Source organism: Homo sapiens, chromosome 10 (assembly GCF_000001405.40).
Source record: "Homo sapiens chromosome 10, GRCh38.p14 Primary Assembly".
Lineage (NCBI taxonomy): Eukaryota > Metazoa > Chordata > Mammalia > Primates > Hominidae > Homo > Homo sapiens.
This window is the reverse complement of record NC_000010.11, coordinates 3,499,298-3,511,670: the sequence shown is the minus strand read 5'-3', so window position 1 is coordinate 3,511,670 and position 12,373 is coordinate 3,499,298. Positions and strand designations below refer to the sequence as shown.

General features: G+C 42.3%; 3 long non-coding RNA genes across 6 annotated transcripts in view; 1 reads left to right on the top strand and 2 right to left on the bottom strand.

Annotated features, from left to right (window-relative positions):
* LOC105376360 (uncharacterized) overlaps positions 1-12,373 on the bottom strand; it is a 432,070-nt gene that overhangs the window by 239,094 nt on the left and 180,603 nt on the right. The gene's annotated exons all lie outside the window — the stretch shown is intronic.
* LINC02669 (long intergenic non-protein coding RNA 2669) overlaps positions 8,833-12,373 on the top strand; it is a 69,327-nt gene continuing 65,786 nt past the window's right edge. For all 4 annotated transcript variants that reach the window (NR_155743.1, NR_155744.1, NR_155746.1 and 1 more), the window contains exon 1: positions 8,833-9,340. This is a non-coding gene — a long non-coding RNA (long intergenic non-protein coding RNA 2669). The remainder of the gene's footprint in view (positions 9,341-12,373) is intronic.
* The window catches only part of LOC124902538 (uncharacterized), a 51,559-nt gene continuing 49,664 nt past the window's right edge, over positions 10,479-12,373 (bottom strand). Inside the window, exon 2 of the long non-coding RNA XR_007062362.1 lies at positions 10,479-11,004. This is a non-coding gene — a long non-coding RNA (uncharacterized LOC124902538). The remainder of the gene's footprint in view (positions 11,005-12,373) is intronic.

Below are 12,373 nucleotides of genomic sequence, written 5' to 3'. Positions count from 1 at the left end.
ACACTGACCTAGAAGTGGCTTCCTGTCCTCTCTCTCGTCTTGTATAAAACCCACTGCCCCTAGCTGCCTCCAAACTATTCAAAATCCCTTCCAATACTTCGGTTGGTCTAAAGCCACTTATTAAGAGGAATTGCTTCTTGCACATAAAACTTAGGACTCAGTAGACCCGTTTTACAGAAGAACAGGGGCAACCCTGGCATCTGTATGCCCAACCAGCACCGAAGGTTATAAGCAACCCTGTTTCAACAGCCCTGTGTTTGTTTCCCATTGCTAATATAACAAAAACTTAATGGGTTCCAGCAACAGGAATTTATCAACCTATAGTTCTGGAAGTCAGAAGCATGAAATGGGTCTCAAGGGCTAAAAGGAGAATGCCAGCAAAGTGCATTTCTTCAGAAGTCTCCAGGGGAGAATCTGGTTTTTGCCTTTTCCAGTTTCTAGGCACTGCCTGCCTTCCTTGGCTCATGACTCTGAAGGGGAGAAAAATTATAGTTTATTTTCTCAGCCCTCATTCATAAGGTCTCAGTTGGGACACCTCTGTAACGAAAGGCAGGTTAACAGGGAAGAAAAGGCATACACATTTATTAAAGTGCATGCAGAGATGATAGTCGTACACAAAGTAGGAAACGCAAAGGAGGGCCCAGATGACTGAAGCCTTTACACCATCCTGAAGTTACAGGAAGAAGTGAGGCTTGGTGCGAGGTGAAACAGGCTATGGGAGGGCGGGAGGAGGAGAGTTGGGGCCAGCAAGGTCGTATGTGATGCAGACAAAACCTCACAGGAAGAAGCAGCTCTTGGGAAGTATAGATGGTGTCCTAGGGTAGAGGTCCCTATGTCACACCATTAAGAGTGTTAGACCTGTGGTCTCCTTTCCTGTAGTTAATCCTTCCCAGATCTGGGGAAGGGGTGCCTCAGAGAAAGCCTGTGTGCATTCGGTGTTTATGTCTCTGATGTAGGCAAAACATTTTCCCTACAGATGCAAATCTCCCCACACAAGACAGCTTGTCAGAGCTGCTTTTGTTTCATGCAGCCCTTCTGAATAGCTGTATCAAAATACGCCCAAGAAGTCTATTTTAGGGTGAAACATTCTGGGTTTCCATTAACTCCATCCTTCCATCTTCAGAGCTAGCAGCAATGCCCAGCCAGTCCCTCTCATGCCGGCTTCTTTTTCTGTTTCTCTCTCTTTCACCTGCCTGCTGCAATTTAAAGGACTGCTGTGATTCCTTGGGGCTCACTGGGGAAATCCAAGATAATCTCCCCACCTCACAATCTTTAATTTAAACACAGCTGCAGAGTCCCTTTTGCCATAAAGCAACACATTAATAGGTTCCAGGGATTGGGGCGTGGACATCTTAGTGGAGTGATTATTCAGCCAACCACAGTCTGTCCTCCGATGCCCAAAGATTCAAAATGCATTCACCCCCCATGCAAAATACATTCACCTATCTCAAGGTCCCCAAGTGTCTCCACCCAATACAGTGTCTACTCAAGTCCAAAATCTCATCTGAGTCTTATGAGTTCAAAAGTCCCAGATCTCATCATCTAAACCAGGTATGGGTGAGATGCTGGGCATGATCCAACCCAGGTCAAAATGTCTCTCATCTGGGAACCTGTGAGAATTGCATTTCTCAAAAAAGGAATAATAAGACTATCCAAGGTCTTCCCATACAAAAAATGCAGACAGGAAAGAATAAAATGAGTTCTCACTGGTCCTAAGCAATTTCAGAATCCAACCATGCAAACTCCATTAGGTTTCAAGGCCTGAGAATAATGCACTGTGGCTTGAGTCTCTGCCTCCTGCTGAGCCCTCGGCTCTGCCCTCACAGTCATCCTTCCATTTTTCCAAAGGCTGGCGTGGGTTTGCCGCTGAGTAGTTTCATCCACCTGTTTTCTGCCTGTGGAGTTTGGGGAGTCTGACAGTTTTCCTTCATTTCATCCCTTCTCTGTTCTGCTCATTTCAAGCTGGCAGTGTTTCTGCTGATAGAACATTCTCAAAAACCTTGTGGATCTCCTGCAAAGGCCACAGTAATTCACATCTGTAGACTGTGAGGGCTCTCTGCAGGTTTGTCCCCGGTGACCCCATCTCTACTCCTGGGCTCTGCTGCAAGGGCTGAGGGAGTTCATGAGTCACATGTTTAATTTACCCAAAGAGCCCTCGGTATGAGTGAACACTTTGACCTTTTGATCTTTCCAAGGCAGTAACGAAAGGCTGTCCAGCCATACCATACCCTTGACTTTCTCCCCAGAACATGCTTTCCTGACAGTGAGTCTCCTAATTTTGGCAGGTTTTACAATCTGGACAGGCTGAAAATTTTCCAAATCATCAAGTTCCAATTCCTTTTTGCTTAACAGTTATTCCCTGAGTTTATTGTTTTCCTGTCACATCTTACTAGAATCATTAAGAAGAAGCCAGTCCACACCTTTAACACTATGCTTGGAAGTCTCTCAGCTGACCATCCAAGTTCATCACTCATATGTCCTGCTTTCCGCAAAACAGTTCCTAAGCTTTCTGCTGCTGTAGGACACAATTCTTAAGCTTTCTGCTGCTGCGTGCACCTTCTTTCCTCCCGTTTTCATTAACATGCTTCTCCTTTTCTTCTGAGCCATCACCGGCAGCACCTCAAAGACTCATTTCCACCAACCGCTGGCTTGAGATGATGTAGGTGTCTGACCATGACACAGCCTCCTCCACTGTGCTCCTCACTCCCCTCTGACCCCCATGGGCAGGGCCTTTGACGTCTGGATTTCTTAGAGTCTCTTCAGGGCAATCTTGCCTTTATTGTCATGCTCCTTAAATTCTTCAGCCTTTGCACATTACCTGGTTCCAAAGCCACTCCCCCGATTCCAAAGCCACTTCCAAGATCTTGGTTGTTTGTTACAACAGCTCCCCACTTCCAGGGGCCAAAAGCTATGCAGGTTTCCGAAGAGCTGCTGTGGCGAATCATTAAAAATTTGGCTTCAAGACAAATTCATCATTTTACTACTCAGAAGGTCGAAAGTCTAAAATGCATTTTACTGGGCTGGAATCATGTGTTCTCAGGGCCACCTTCTTTCTGGGGACCTAGAGGAAAATCAATTTCCTCACTTCTCCGTTTTCTAGAAGCCACCTGCACTCCATGGTCCCTAGGCCTTTCCTCCCTCTTCAAGGTCCATTGCTCCAACCTCTGCTTCCCTCCTCAAGTCTCCTCTCTGACCCTGATCCTCCCACCTCCCTCTTACATAATAGGAAACGTTGTGATTAAATTGGGCAGATCAGATAACCCAGAATGATCTCCACACCTCAAGAACTTAAATCATATCTGGGAAGGCCATTGTATTATGTGAGGCAATACATTTGCAGGTTCTGGGATTAGGACATGGGCATCTTTGAGGGGCTATTCTTGCTTTTATTTTTTATTTATTTTCATCTTTTATGATTTTTTTATTTCAATAGATTTTTTGGGAACAGGTGGTGTTTAGTTACATGAATAAGTTCATTAGTGGTGATTTGTGAGATTTTGGTGTACCCAATGTGTAGTCTCTTATCCCTCACCACCCCCCACCCTTCCCCCCGAGTCCTCAAAGTCCATTGTACCATTCTTACGCCTTTGCATTCTCATAGCTTAGCTCCCACTTATAAGAATATACAATGTTTGGTTTCCCATTCCTGAGTTACATCACTTAGAATAATGGTCTCAATTCCATCCAGGTTGCTCCAAATGCCATTATTTCATTCTTTTTTATGGCTGAGTAGTATTCCATGGTGTGTGTGTGTGTGTGTGTGTGTGTGTGTGTGTGTGTGTGAGAGAGAGAGAGTGTGAGAGTGTGTGTGTACCACATTTTCTTTATCCACTCATTAAAGGATGGGCATTTGGGCTGGTTCCATATTTTTGCAATTGCAAATTGTGCTGCTATAAACATGCATGTGCAAGTATCCTTTTTTTAGAATGACTTTTTTTCCTCTGGGTAGATACCCAGTAGTGGGATTGCTGGATCAAATGGTAGTTCTACTTCTAGTTCTTTAAGGAATTTCCACACTGTTTTCCATAGCAGCTGTATTAGTTTACAGTCCCATCAGCCGTAAAGAAGTGTTCAGCGGGCCTTTCTTCTACTGACCACAATACTGCACTCTGCTCTTCTGATATTTATGTAGACAATAATAAAAGGAAAGTTGGGCAATGAAGACTTTCAGATAATTAAAGTGTGCTAAAGTCCTTGTGCTGTTCCAGACAAGAAAAAAGAGACCAAGTTTGCACTCTGTTAGAAAAATACAATCTTGTTATAGAAAAATAACCACTAAACATTTAAAGATAGCCACTAAAAGATGAGAGATACCAAGTCAGTGGAGAAGACAAGACTATGGAATAAAGGAAACTCTATCAAAATAACAAAGGGCAAGCAAAGAGGGGGAATAAAAGGCATGATCATGAAGGATGTACACAGTAGGACAGTAGAGAAAATTCTAAATCCATCAGGGACCAGGAAACATACACTTTGTAATCTCATGGAAGAAGAGACGGATGTCAGTTGACTTTTCCTGGTGGTTCTGACAGTGCCAGCTGCCACGTGGTGGGATGTTCTGTGGAGAGGCCTATAAGGCAAGGGTTCAGGGTGGCCAACAGCTGAAGCTCCCAGTAGCCCAAGAGGGTGAGTCTTGACAACAAGCTCAGCGTGGGTCCTCCTGGGAGGACCTTGTGATGACCACAGTTCTGTGAGGGATGGAGGGTCTGAAGCCCCGGCCTCACTGTGCCCAGTTGCCTTACTCCAAGAATTGTTAGATCAAAAATGTTGTCTGAAGCCACTAAGTTTTAACTTTTTATTCTCCGGAAGGCTGCTCCTGAAAACTGTGAAAACACCTTTCTCAGTCTAACTCCACCTCACTGCTCTGCAGAACATGAAATTATACACCTTGTAGGACCCAGAAAGGCAGGATGCCTTTCAGCTGCCAGCTCTCCATTAGAGCCCTATGCTCTTTGAGGGGAAGGTCTTTATGTCACTCTCCAAAGCCACACACAAATATTTTAGGGTTTTTCCTAAGAAATGATGAATCGAAACCAAAGCATAGTGCATATAGAAAGCAATATTACAGCTGCCCTGTGGAAATCTTTCCACCTCTTGCTTTCTCACTGGTCAAATCAGTATTACCTGAACCCTAATCAGGGCAGACCGCAGGGGTACAATGCAGAGGATTCTCTGATGCTCTCAGAGGCTAGAAAACCTGAGAAATGGTTTCTGCTCTTAGATCAAGTTCCATCTGTCAAGACCTGAAGGCCAGTAAGGTGAAGTCTTCTGCAAAGTAAAGACAGACAAGCATGTACAGAGAACCCTTGATTTTAAAATTACCCTTCTGGAGACTTGACACTGTCCTAAAAGCAAAAAAGTGCATTTCGAGACTTCAAGGAAAATGCTTATGAAACAGAAAATTAAGTGCCTACCTGTTCTAAATGAATGGTTTATTCAAACAAATTATATTGCGTACTTTAGGTGATTTTGAAAGTTAGACCCCACATACATTATATAAGAATATTATATCTCTATTCATATCTGGGGAAAGAGATACAGAAACAGAAGTCTATTCATTAAAGCCAAACTGGAAATTCTTTTTTTTTTTTTTTTTTTCAGATGGAGTCTTGCTCTGTCTCCCAGGCTGGAATGCAGTGGTGCAATTTCTGCTCACTGCAACCTCCACCTCCTGGGTTCAAGTGATTCTCCTGCCTCTGCCTCCCGGGTAACTGGGATTACAGGCACACGCCACCACACCCAGCTAATTTTTGTATTTTTAGTAGAGATGGGATTTCACCATGTTGATCAGGCTGGTCTTAAACTCCTGACCTCAAGCAATCCACCCACCTCAGCCTCCCAAAGTGCTGGGATTATAGGTGTGAGCCACCGTGGCCAGCCCTGGAAATTCAATTTATAATTTAATCCATTATGGTAGCTAAAAGAAAATAAATTTTTTTTGTGTCCAGAGAATCTGAAAAATTGCAAAGGATTTTCATACTTAAAGAAGGAGGCTATAAATGCAAGAAGAATTTGAGTTTTGTCTATGCTACTGTTTGTTTGTTTGTTTGTTTGTCTGTTTATTAAGACAAAGTCTTGCTGTGCCCCCCAGGCTGGAGTGCAGTGGTCTGATCTCGGTTCACTGCAACTTCCGCCTCCCAGGTTCAAGCCATTCTCTTGCCTCAGCCTCCTGAGTAGCTGGGATTACAGGCATGTGCCACTACGCCCAGCTAATTTTTGTATTTTTAGTAGAGATGGGATTTCACTATGTTGGCCAGGCTGGTCTCAAACTCCTGACCTCAGGTGATCTGACTGCCTCAGCCTCCCAAAGTGCTGGGATTACAGGCATGAGCCACGGGGTGTCCAGTGATACTACTGTATAGAAGAATCTACTTCGCCTCTTTGTAAGTCTTTACACCTATGCTAGAATGTACCCCTGCTGGCTTTCAGCCAGCCTCTGACATAGGGCAAATGTGGGGAAAAGTCACAGCACAAGCTAGACTCCATCATATCCACAACAAGGTAAACTTGAACAGTTAAAGCATGGGGGTATGAAAATAATCTTACAAATCATAGTGGACATTCTCAGCTCCGCATGCATGCCAAGAATATTTTTGGGACCATAAAATATCAGTAGAGGGAATTTTAAAGATTATGTGGCCTAATCTATTAATTTCACAGATGAGACAACTGAGGCTTAGAAAGATTAAAAAGATGCATCTAAGTTGCATCGTGGCAAGGTGAGAACTAGAATTCAGTCCTCACTCAGCCCTGTACACTGTTTCTTTACCTAAGTATACATATAGAAAAAAACATATATCCTAATAACTTTTTGGACTACAGGATTTTTCCAATGGTACAGTCTTCCAAATTTAATACATTGATATTTTCTTTTCTTTTTTTTTTTTGAGACGGAGTTTCACTCTTATTGCCCAGGTTGGAGTGCAGTGGCGCGATCTCGGCTCACTGCAACTTCCTCCTCCCGGGTTCAAGCGATTCTCCTGCCTCAGCCTCCTGAGTAGCTGGGATCACAGGCATGCACCACCAAGCCCGGCTAATTTTGTATTTTTTTTTTTTTGGTAGATAAGGGGTTTCTCCATGTTGGTCAAGCTGGTCTCGAACTCCTGACCTCAGGGGATCCACCCACCTCAGCCTCCCAAAGTGCTGGGATTACAGGCATGAGCCACTGTGCCCAGCTGGTATTTTCATACTTTTTAAAACTTCTAAAAATATATGCACACACATAAAGACATCTTGATAATTCCTATGCATTGCTATCCAGTGCTTACACATAGACGGTGCATTCTCTGGAATTCACCCTGGGTCAGAGCCTTCTCACCTCCCAGCACAAGCCAGTAGCTTAAGCCTCAGTGTCCCAGCTTCGGTGCACTGGGCAGGAGATGGGTCTCCCAAGACCACTCAGCCATGTGGTTCCTTCAGCTCTCAGCACAGCCGAGTCCAGGCTGCAGGCTCTCCATCACAAGCCAACTACAGAGTGACACATGTTCTCTACACATGCCGTGACTGAATATGTTGTGTTCTGAAAATATTTGGGAGTTAATTTGTGTTTTGTGCCTAGTGCTTCATGGACCGGTGCTCATTGCATCCTTACAGCCATCTACAAGGGTGTCACCATTATTTGTATTTTATTAGACTTAGAGAGGTGAAGTGACTTGCTCAAAATAATACGGTTAGCAAATGACTGAACCCCGACCCAACAGGGAGAATGTGGGAAGAAATCAACAAAGCTTATTTAACAGGTATCTGCCAAGGGTTGGAAAAAATAAGATTTATTGTTGCTCCACTGAGCAGAACACAGCCCATCAGAGGTTACTGCACCTTCAACGACATGTGCTTTTGACTGACCCATCAAAACACTGGTGGCAAGAGCACTAAATAAGTTGCCTATCATACTTAATCTTTCCAGGATTCAAAGAGGAGTGTAGAGTGAAATGACCTATAAGACCCCTGAGCCTAAAATATAATCTAATGGACTCAGCTTTAAAGCGCTCATTGAGAGGATGGCCAAAAACCAGCCGCCACAGTGCGAAGCACGATTCCTCCACCATCCGCAGTCCACTCGCACAAATACCCTCAGTGAAACACTTCTTTCTCTCCACCCACTTTTGAGTAGGATGAAATGGCACATTCCATTTTCAAAGTGGGCAGCTTGCACGTATCAGCAGTGCCAGGAATTTGGAAAACGATAACGTGGAACCCACAGTAACTTGCTGGCTGAATTTACTCACCCAGGTGACCCAGGTCGATGAGGGCTTCAGAGCCACGGGGATTTTAAATGCCGCTTCAAAGCCAACAAGGAGCAGAACCAGTGCTGATTCGTGTTTATGATAATGACATTTGAAAGGCTAAAAATTACAAAGTTGTTTACAGAGATGGACTTAGAAAATAATTGTATCTAATGTCTCATAAACATAAAAGAAAGTTATTTTGTAGTAGATGATTGAAAAGAAAAAATCTCCTTTAAAAAGGAAATAAATATACTAGTTTCAGACAGAAACAACTTCAAAGGCAATCAGAAAATTCAGTGGAATTTTAAAGAGGGAATCTCACTCAAAGAATTCTCTAAAATTGCCTAAACTTAAAAGCATTATTTTTCTCGAGACATTTAATTTAGATTGCATACCAAACCCTGTAATAAACCTCCTGCAAAGAAATAATAATAGACCATAGGCATTATATATGTTCACTGTTCACTGCGTGTAAATACAATGATTGACCTTCCATCAACAGACAAGAGGCATAACTCCATGGCAACAGAGAAATAGAGGTCACAATCATATTTTCCAAGGCAATTTTTGGCCCTCGGGGGATTCACTGTTATACTTGGAGGCCATGTCACCTGAGAGTCAATGGGCAACGATCAAATTTCACCTTGAGCAGATTCTTTTGTTTGCTTTTTAGTCACAAATAGCTTGGCCCTAAGTGGTGGCTCCCATTCTTGTAAGATGCGTTTATTCATCGTGTAATCACCAGTTCCCTGTAGTGGGGGCGTGGATGGAGTGTCAGAGGCTCCTGCTGGTCTTTAGGGTGTCTGGCCTCCAGGAATCCTAGAGGTAGTATTTGGAGAGATTTTTAAAAGCTTTGTTTCTGTGACCAGCAAAACCTGGATTTGACACTGAGGTCAGCCCGTTTCAGCCAGTGACGTAACCTGTCTTTTTGCCCCAGTAAATTGGGAACTACAGCACTCGATGTTAGAGTTGTCGTGAAGATTAAAGAAGGTGACGACTGGACAACTCCCAGCCCAATACCTGAAACTGTACCAGCACCCAGTGAGCACTGCTATTCCTGTGACTGCTGCACATTTGCCTTATCTCAGCAGTATGCCTGTGTCACTTTTTTGGTAAGATAGAGACCATTTTAAAATATGAAATATAAATATATTATTTAAACAATTTCCCCTTGGCTCATATAGGTTGAAACAGAAATTATTTCATGGGTTGTGAAGTTGAATGAGACTCACTACTAAGTTTTTATGTAACATAGGAATAAAAATTATTGTTATATCACTGGTGCAGATACATAAAATGTACAGATGCATAAATGTTAATATGTGTGTGTATATATATGTATAAGTTTAGTCATTTCATAGATCGTGGGTAAATGACATTAACAAGCAAAATACATTGGAGAATTTCATTTGTTCTGAATAATAAATATATTACAGAAACAAAACTGCAGTATCAAAAGACAGCACTTTAGCAAGTATGGAGTTTGTAATAAAAGGCTTTTTTGTAGGCTAACGTCAAGACTTTCACAGTAGTTTAACTGAAGAATCTGCAAAATTTAACAGTTATTCCAATCCCTTCTATGTTAAGGATTACCCTTCAATCAATGTCTCATTTTCTCTCTAAAATCTATTGAAAAAGAAAAAAAAAAACACAACAGAACCAGGATTGTTCCTCTGGCTAATGGTGTCACACGTAAAATGCTCAATCACAGCGTGATTTGAAAAGGCTCAAAGCAGAACTTCTAAATTTGAGCTGCTATTGATTTCCCTGGAAACTGAAGGAAAGAGGCCGATTGCTATTTGACAGTGAGGTTAGAATTTTTATAAAATATTTTCTCTTTTAAAAATCCATAATATATTTCTTTTCTTTTTTTTTTTTTTTGAGAGTTTTGCTCTCGTTGCCCGGGCTGGTGTGTGTGATGCGATCTCGGCTCACTGCAATCTCCACCTCCCAGGTTCAAGCAATTCTCCTGCTTCAGCCTCCCATGTAACTGGGATTACAGGTGCCCACCATCATGCCCGGCTAATTTTTGTATTTTTAGTAGAGATGGGGTTTCACCATATTGGCCAGGCTGGTCTCGAACTCCCAACCTCAGGTGATCCACCCGCCTTGGTCTCCCAGAGTGCTTCAATTACAGGCATGAGTCACCGTGCCCAGCCAAAAATCCATAATATATTTCTATAATTGTCTTCTTTACTGTGAGTTCTCCAAGTCAAACAACTATGTATATTAAAACAATGATGTATATCATAAAATTTACATGATTGGTCTTTATTAAACAATCCTTCACTCTCTTCTCCTCTGAACATGATGAACCTCCCTAAGGAATAAAGTCAGGACATTTTAAGGGTTTGAGCAAATGAATCATTTCATCTTCAATTTCAGAAAATAGGTCTTCATGAAAGCAAAAGGAAATCTGATTTTCCAAGTGATATGACACATCAGGAGAAACACGGGCTTCTAAAGAATATACACACTTAAAAATGGATTATTTACAATTTTTAAGCATAAAACACACATCAGGAGAAACACAGGCTTCTAGAGAATACACACACTTAAAAATGGATTATTCACAATTTTTAAGCATAAAACAAGACACAGTGTGTGCACACACGTGCACTGCTGATTTCTGTTGCTGGAGGCACGGCGCTGTCTTCGGGGTTGTCGTCATTGCTAGCTGGTCAACACCGCACTTGTGTTGTAGCCTTCAAGGCCGAACCCTGGTTTCTGACATCACTTGGCAGGGTTGCTATGGGAACAGTGGCTTTGTGTGTCCCTGAGGGAACAAAGGGGGATTGCCATTAGCGGACTTCAGAGCGGGCCTGGTGCCCTATTGGTACAGGATCGCAGAACAGCACATTCAACGTTATCGCCAAGGCAAAATTCCATTCATGCTTCACATGTCTTCTTCCAGCAAACACGTCTTTGAGTGCATGTTATTGCCACAGCTTTGGGACAGGGGCCAGGACAACAGGGAGACTTTTCAGGGCTGGGCAGGGATCGCCCGTCAAGAGCAAGGGGCAGGGTTTTGAATCATGTCTTTTGTCTTCTGAATCCCAAATGACGGCTGTTTCCAGGAAATTTCAGTTTCTTTTGTCATTTTTTTTTTTTTAAATCTTGGGGTATGTGTAAGACTAATTTTAAAGTCCATGAACAATCAGTCAGATAACAGTCTGACTTTCCCAACTCCTGCCCAAAACCAAAATTAGCTAAACTCAGGCACCTGGCTAATGGATACAGACCGCCCTCATGAAAAATTAGGGACAATTTAAGAAATCTATTTAATAGATTTAACAATGACTTATTATTTAATAATATTTAATAAAGATTAAAGTTACAGCTATTATGCCCAGCAAGTTCTCTCATATAACTATATAATTGTTCACAGACAGAATATCTTCATTTAGGACATTCCCTTTATTAATTTGACCTTAAAATATTTTGACTTTATTATGCATGTCATAAGTATATGATTAATTTAGAGAAAAATTAGCACATAAATATAAGTATCATTCAGATCAAGTAATAGAACATTATTACCATTCCAGAACCCTCCTTCCTACCCTTGCAATCATAGCCCTTCAAAAGGTAACCAGGCAAGGCACAGTGGCTCATGCCTGTAATCCTAGCACCTTGGGAGGCCGAGGTAGGAGGAGTGCTTGAACTCAGGAGTTCAAGACCAGCCTGGGCAACATGGCAAAACTCAATCTCTACCAAAAAAAAAGAATAATAAATAAATACAAAAATTAGCTGGATGTGGTGGTGTGCGCCTATAGTCCCAGCTAGTGGGGAGCCTGAAGTGGGAGGATGGCTTGAGCCAGAGAGGCTGCAGTGAGCCAAGATCATGCCACTGCACTCCAGCCTGGGCAACAGAGTGAGACCCTGTCTCAAAACAAAACAAAACAGAACAAAACAAAACACTATAGGTAGCCACTATTCTGATGTCTGTCATTATAAACTTATTTTACTGGTTTTTTCTTTATATAAATAGAATTATACGTATCAAAGAGAGTATACTGACTCAGCAATCTGTCTTATGGGTGTGCATCTGTAGTTATTTTTCATTGCTGTCTACGTTCCCTGGTATGACTATAAACACGATGTAGCGTAATACTATTCATGGACATTTGAGCTGTTTCCAGCTT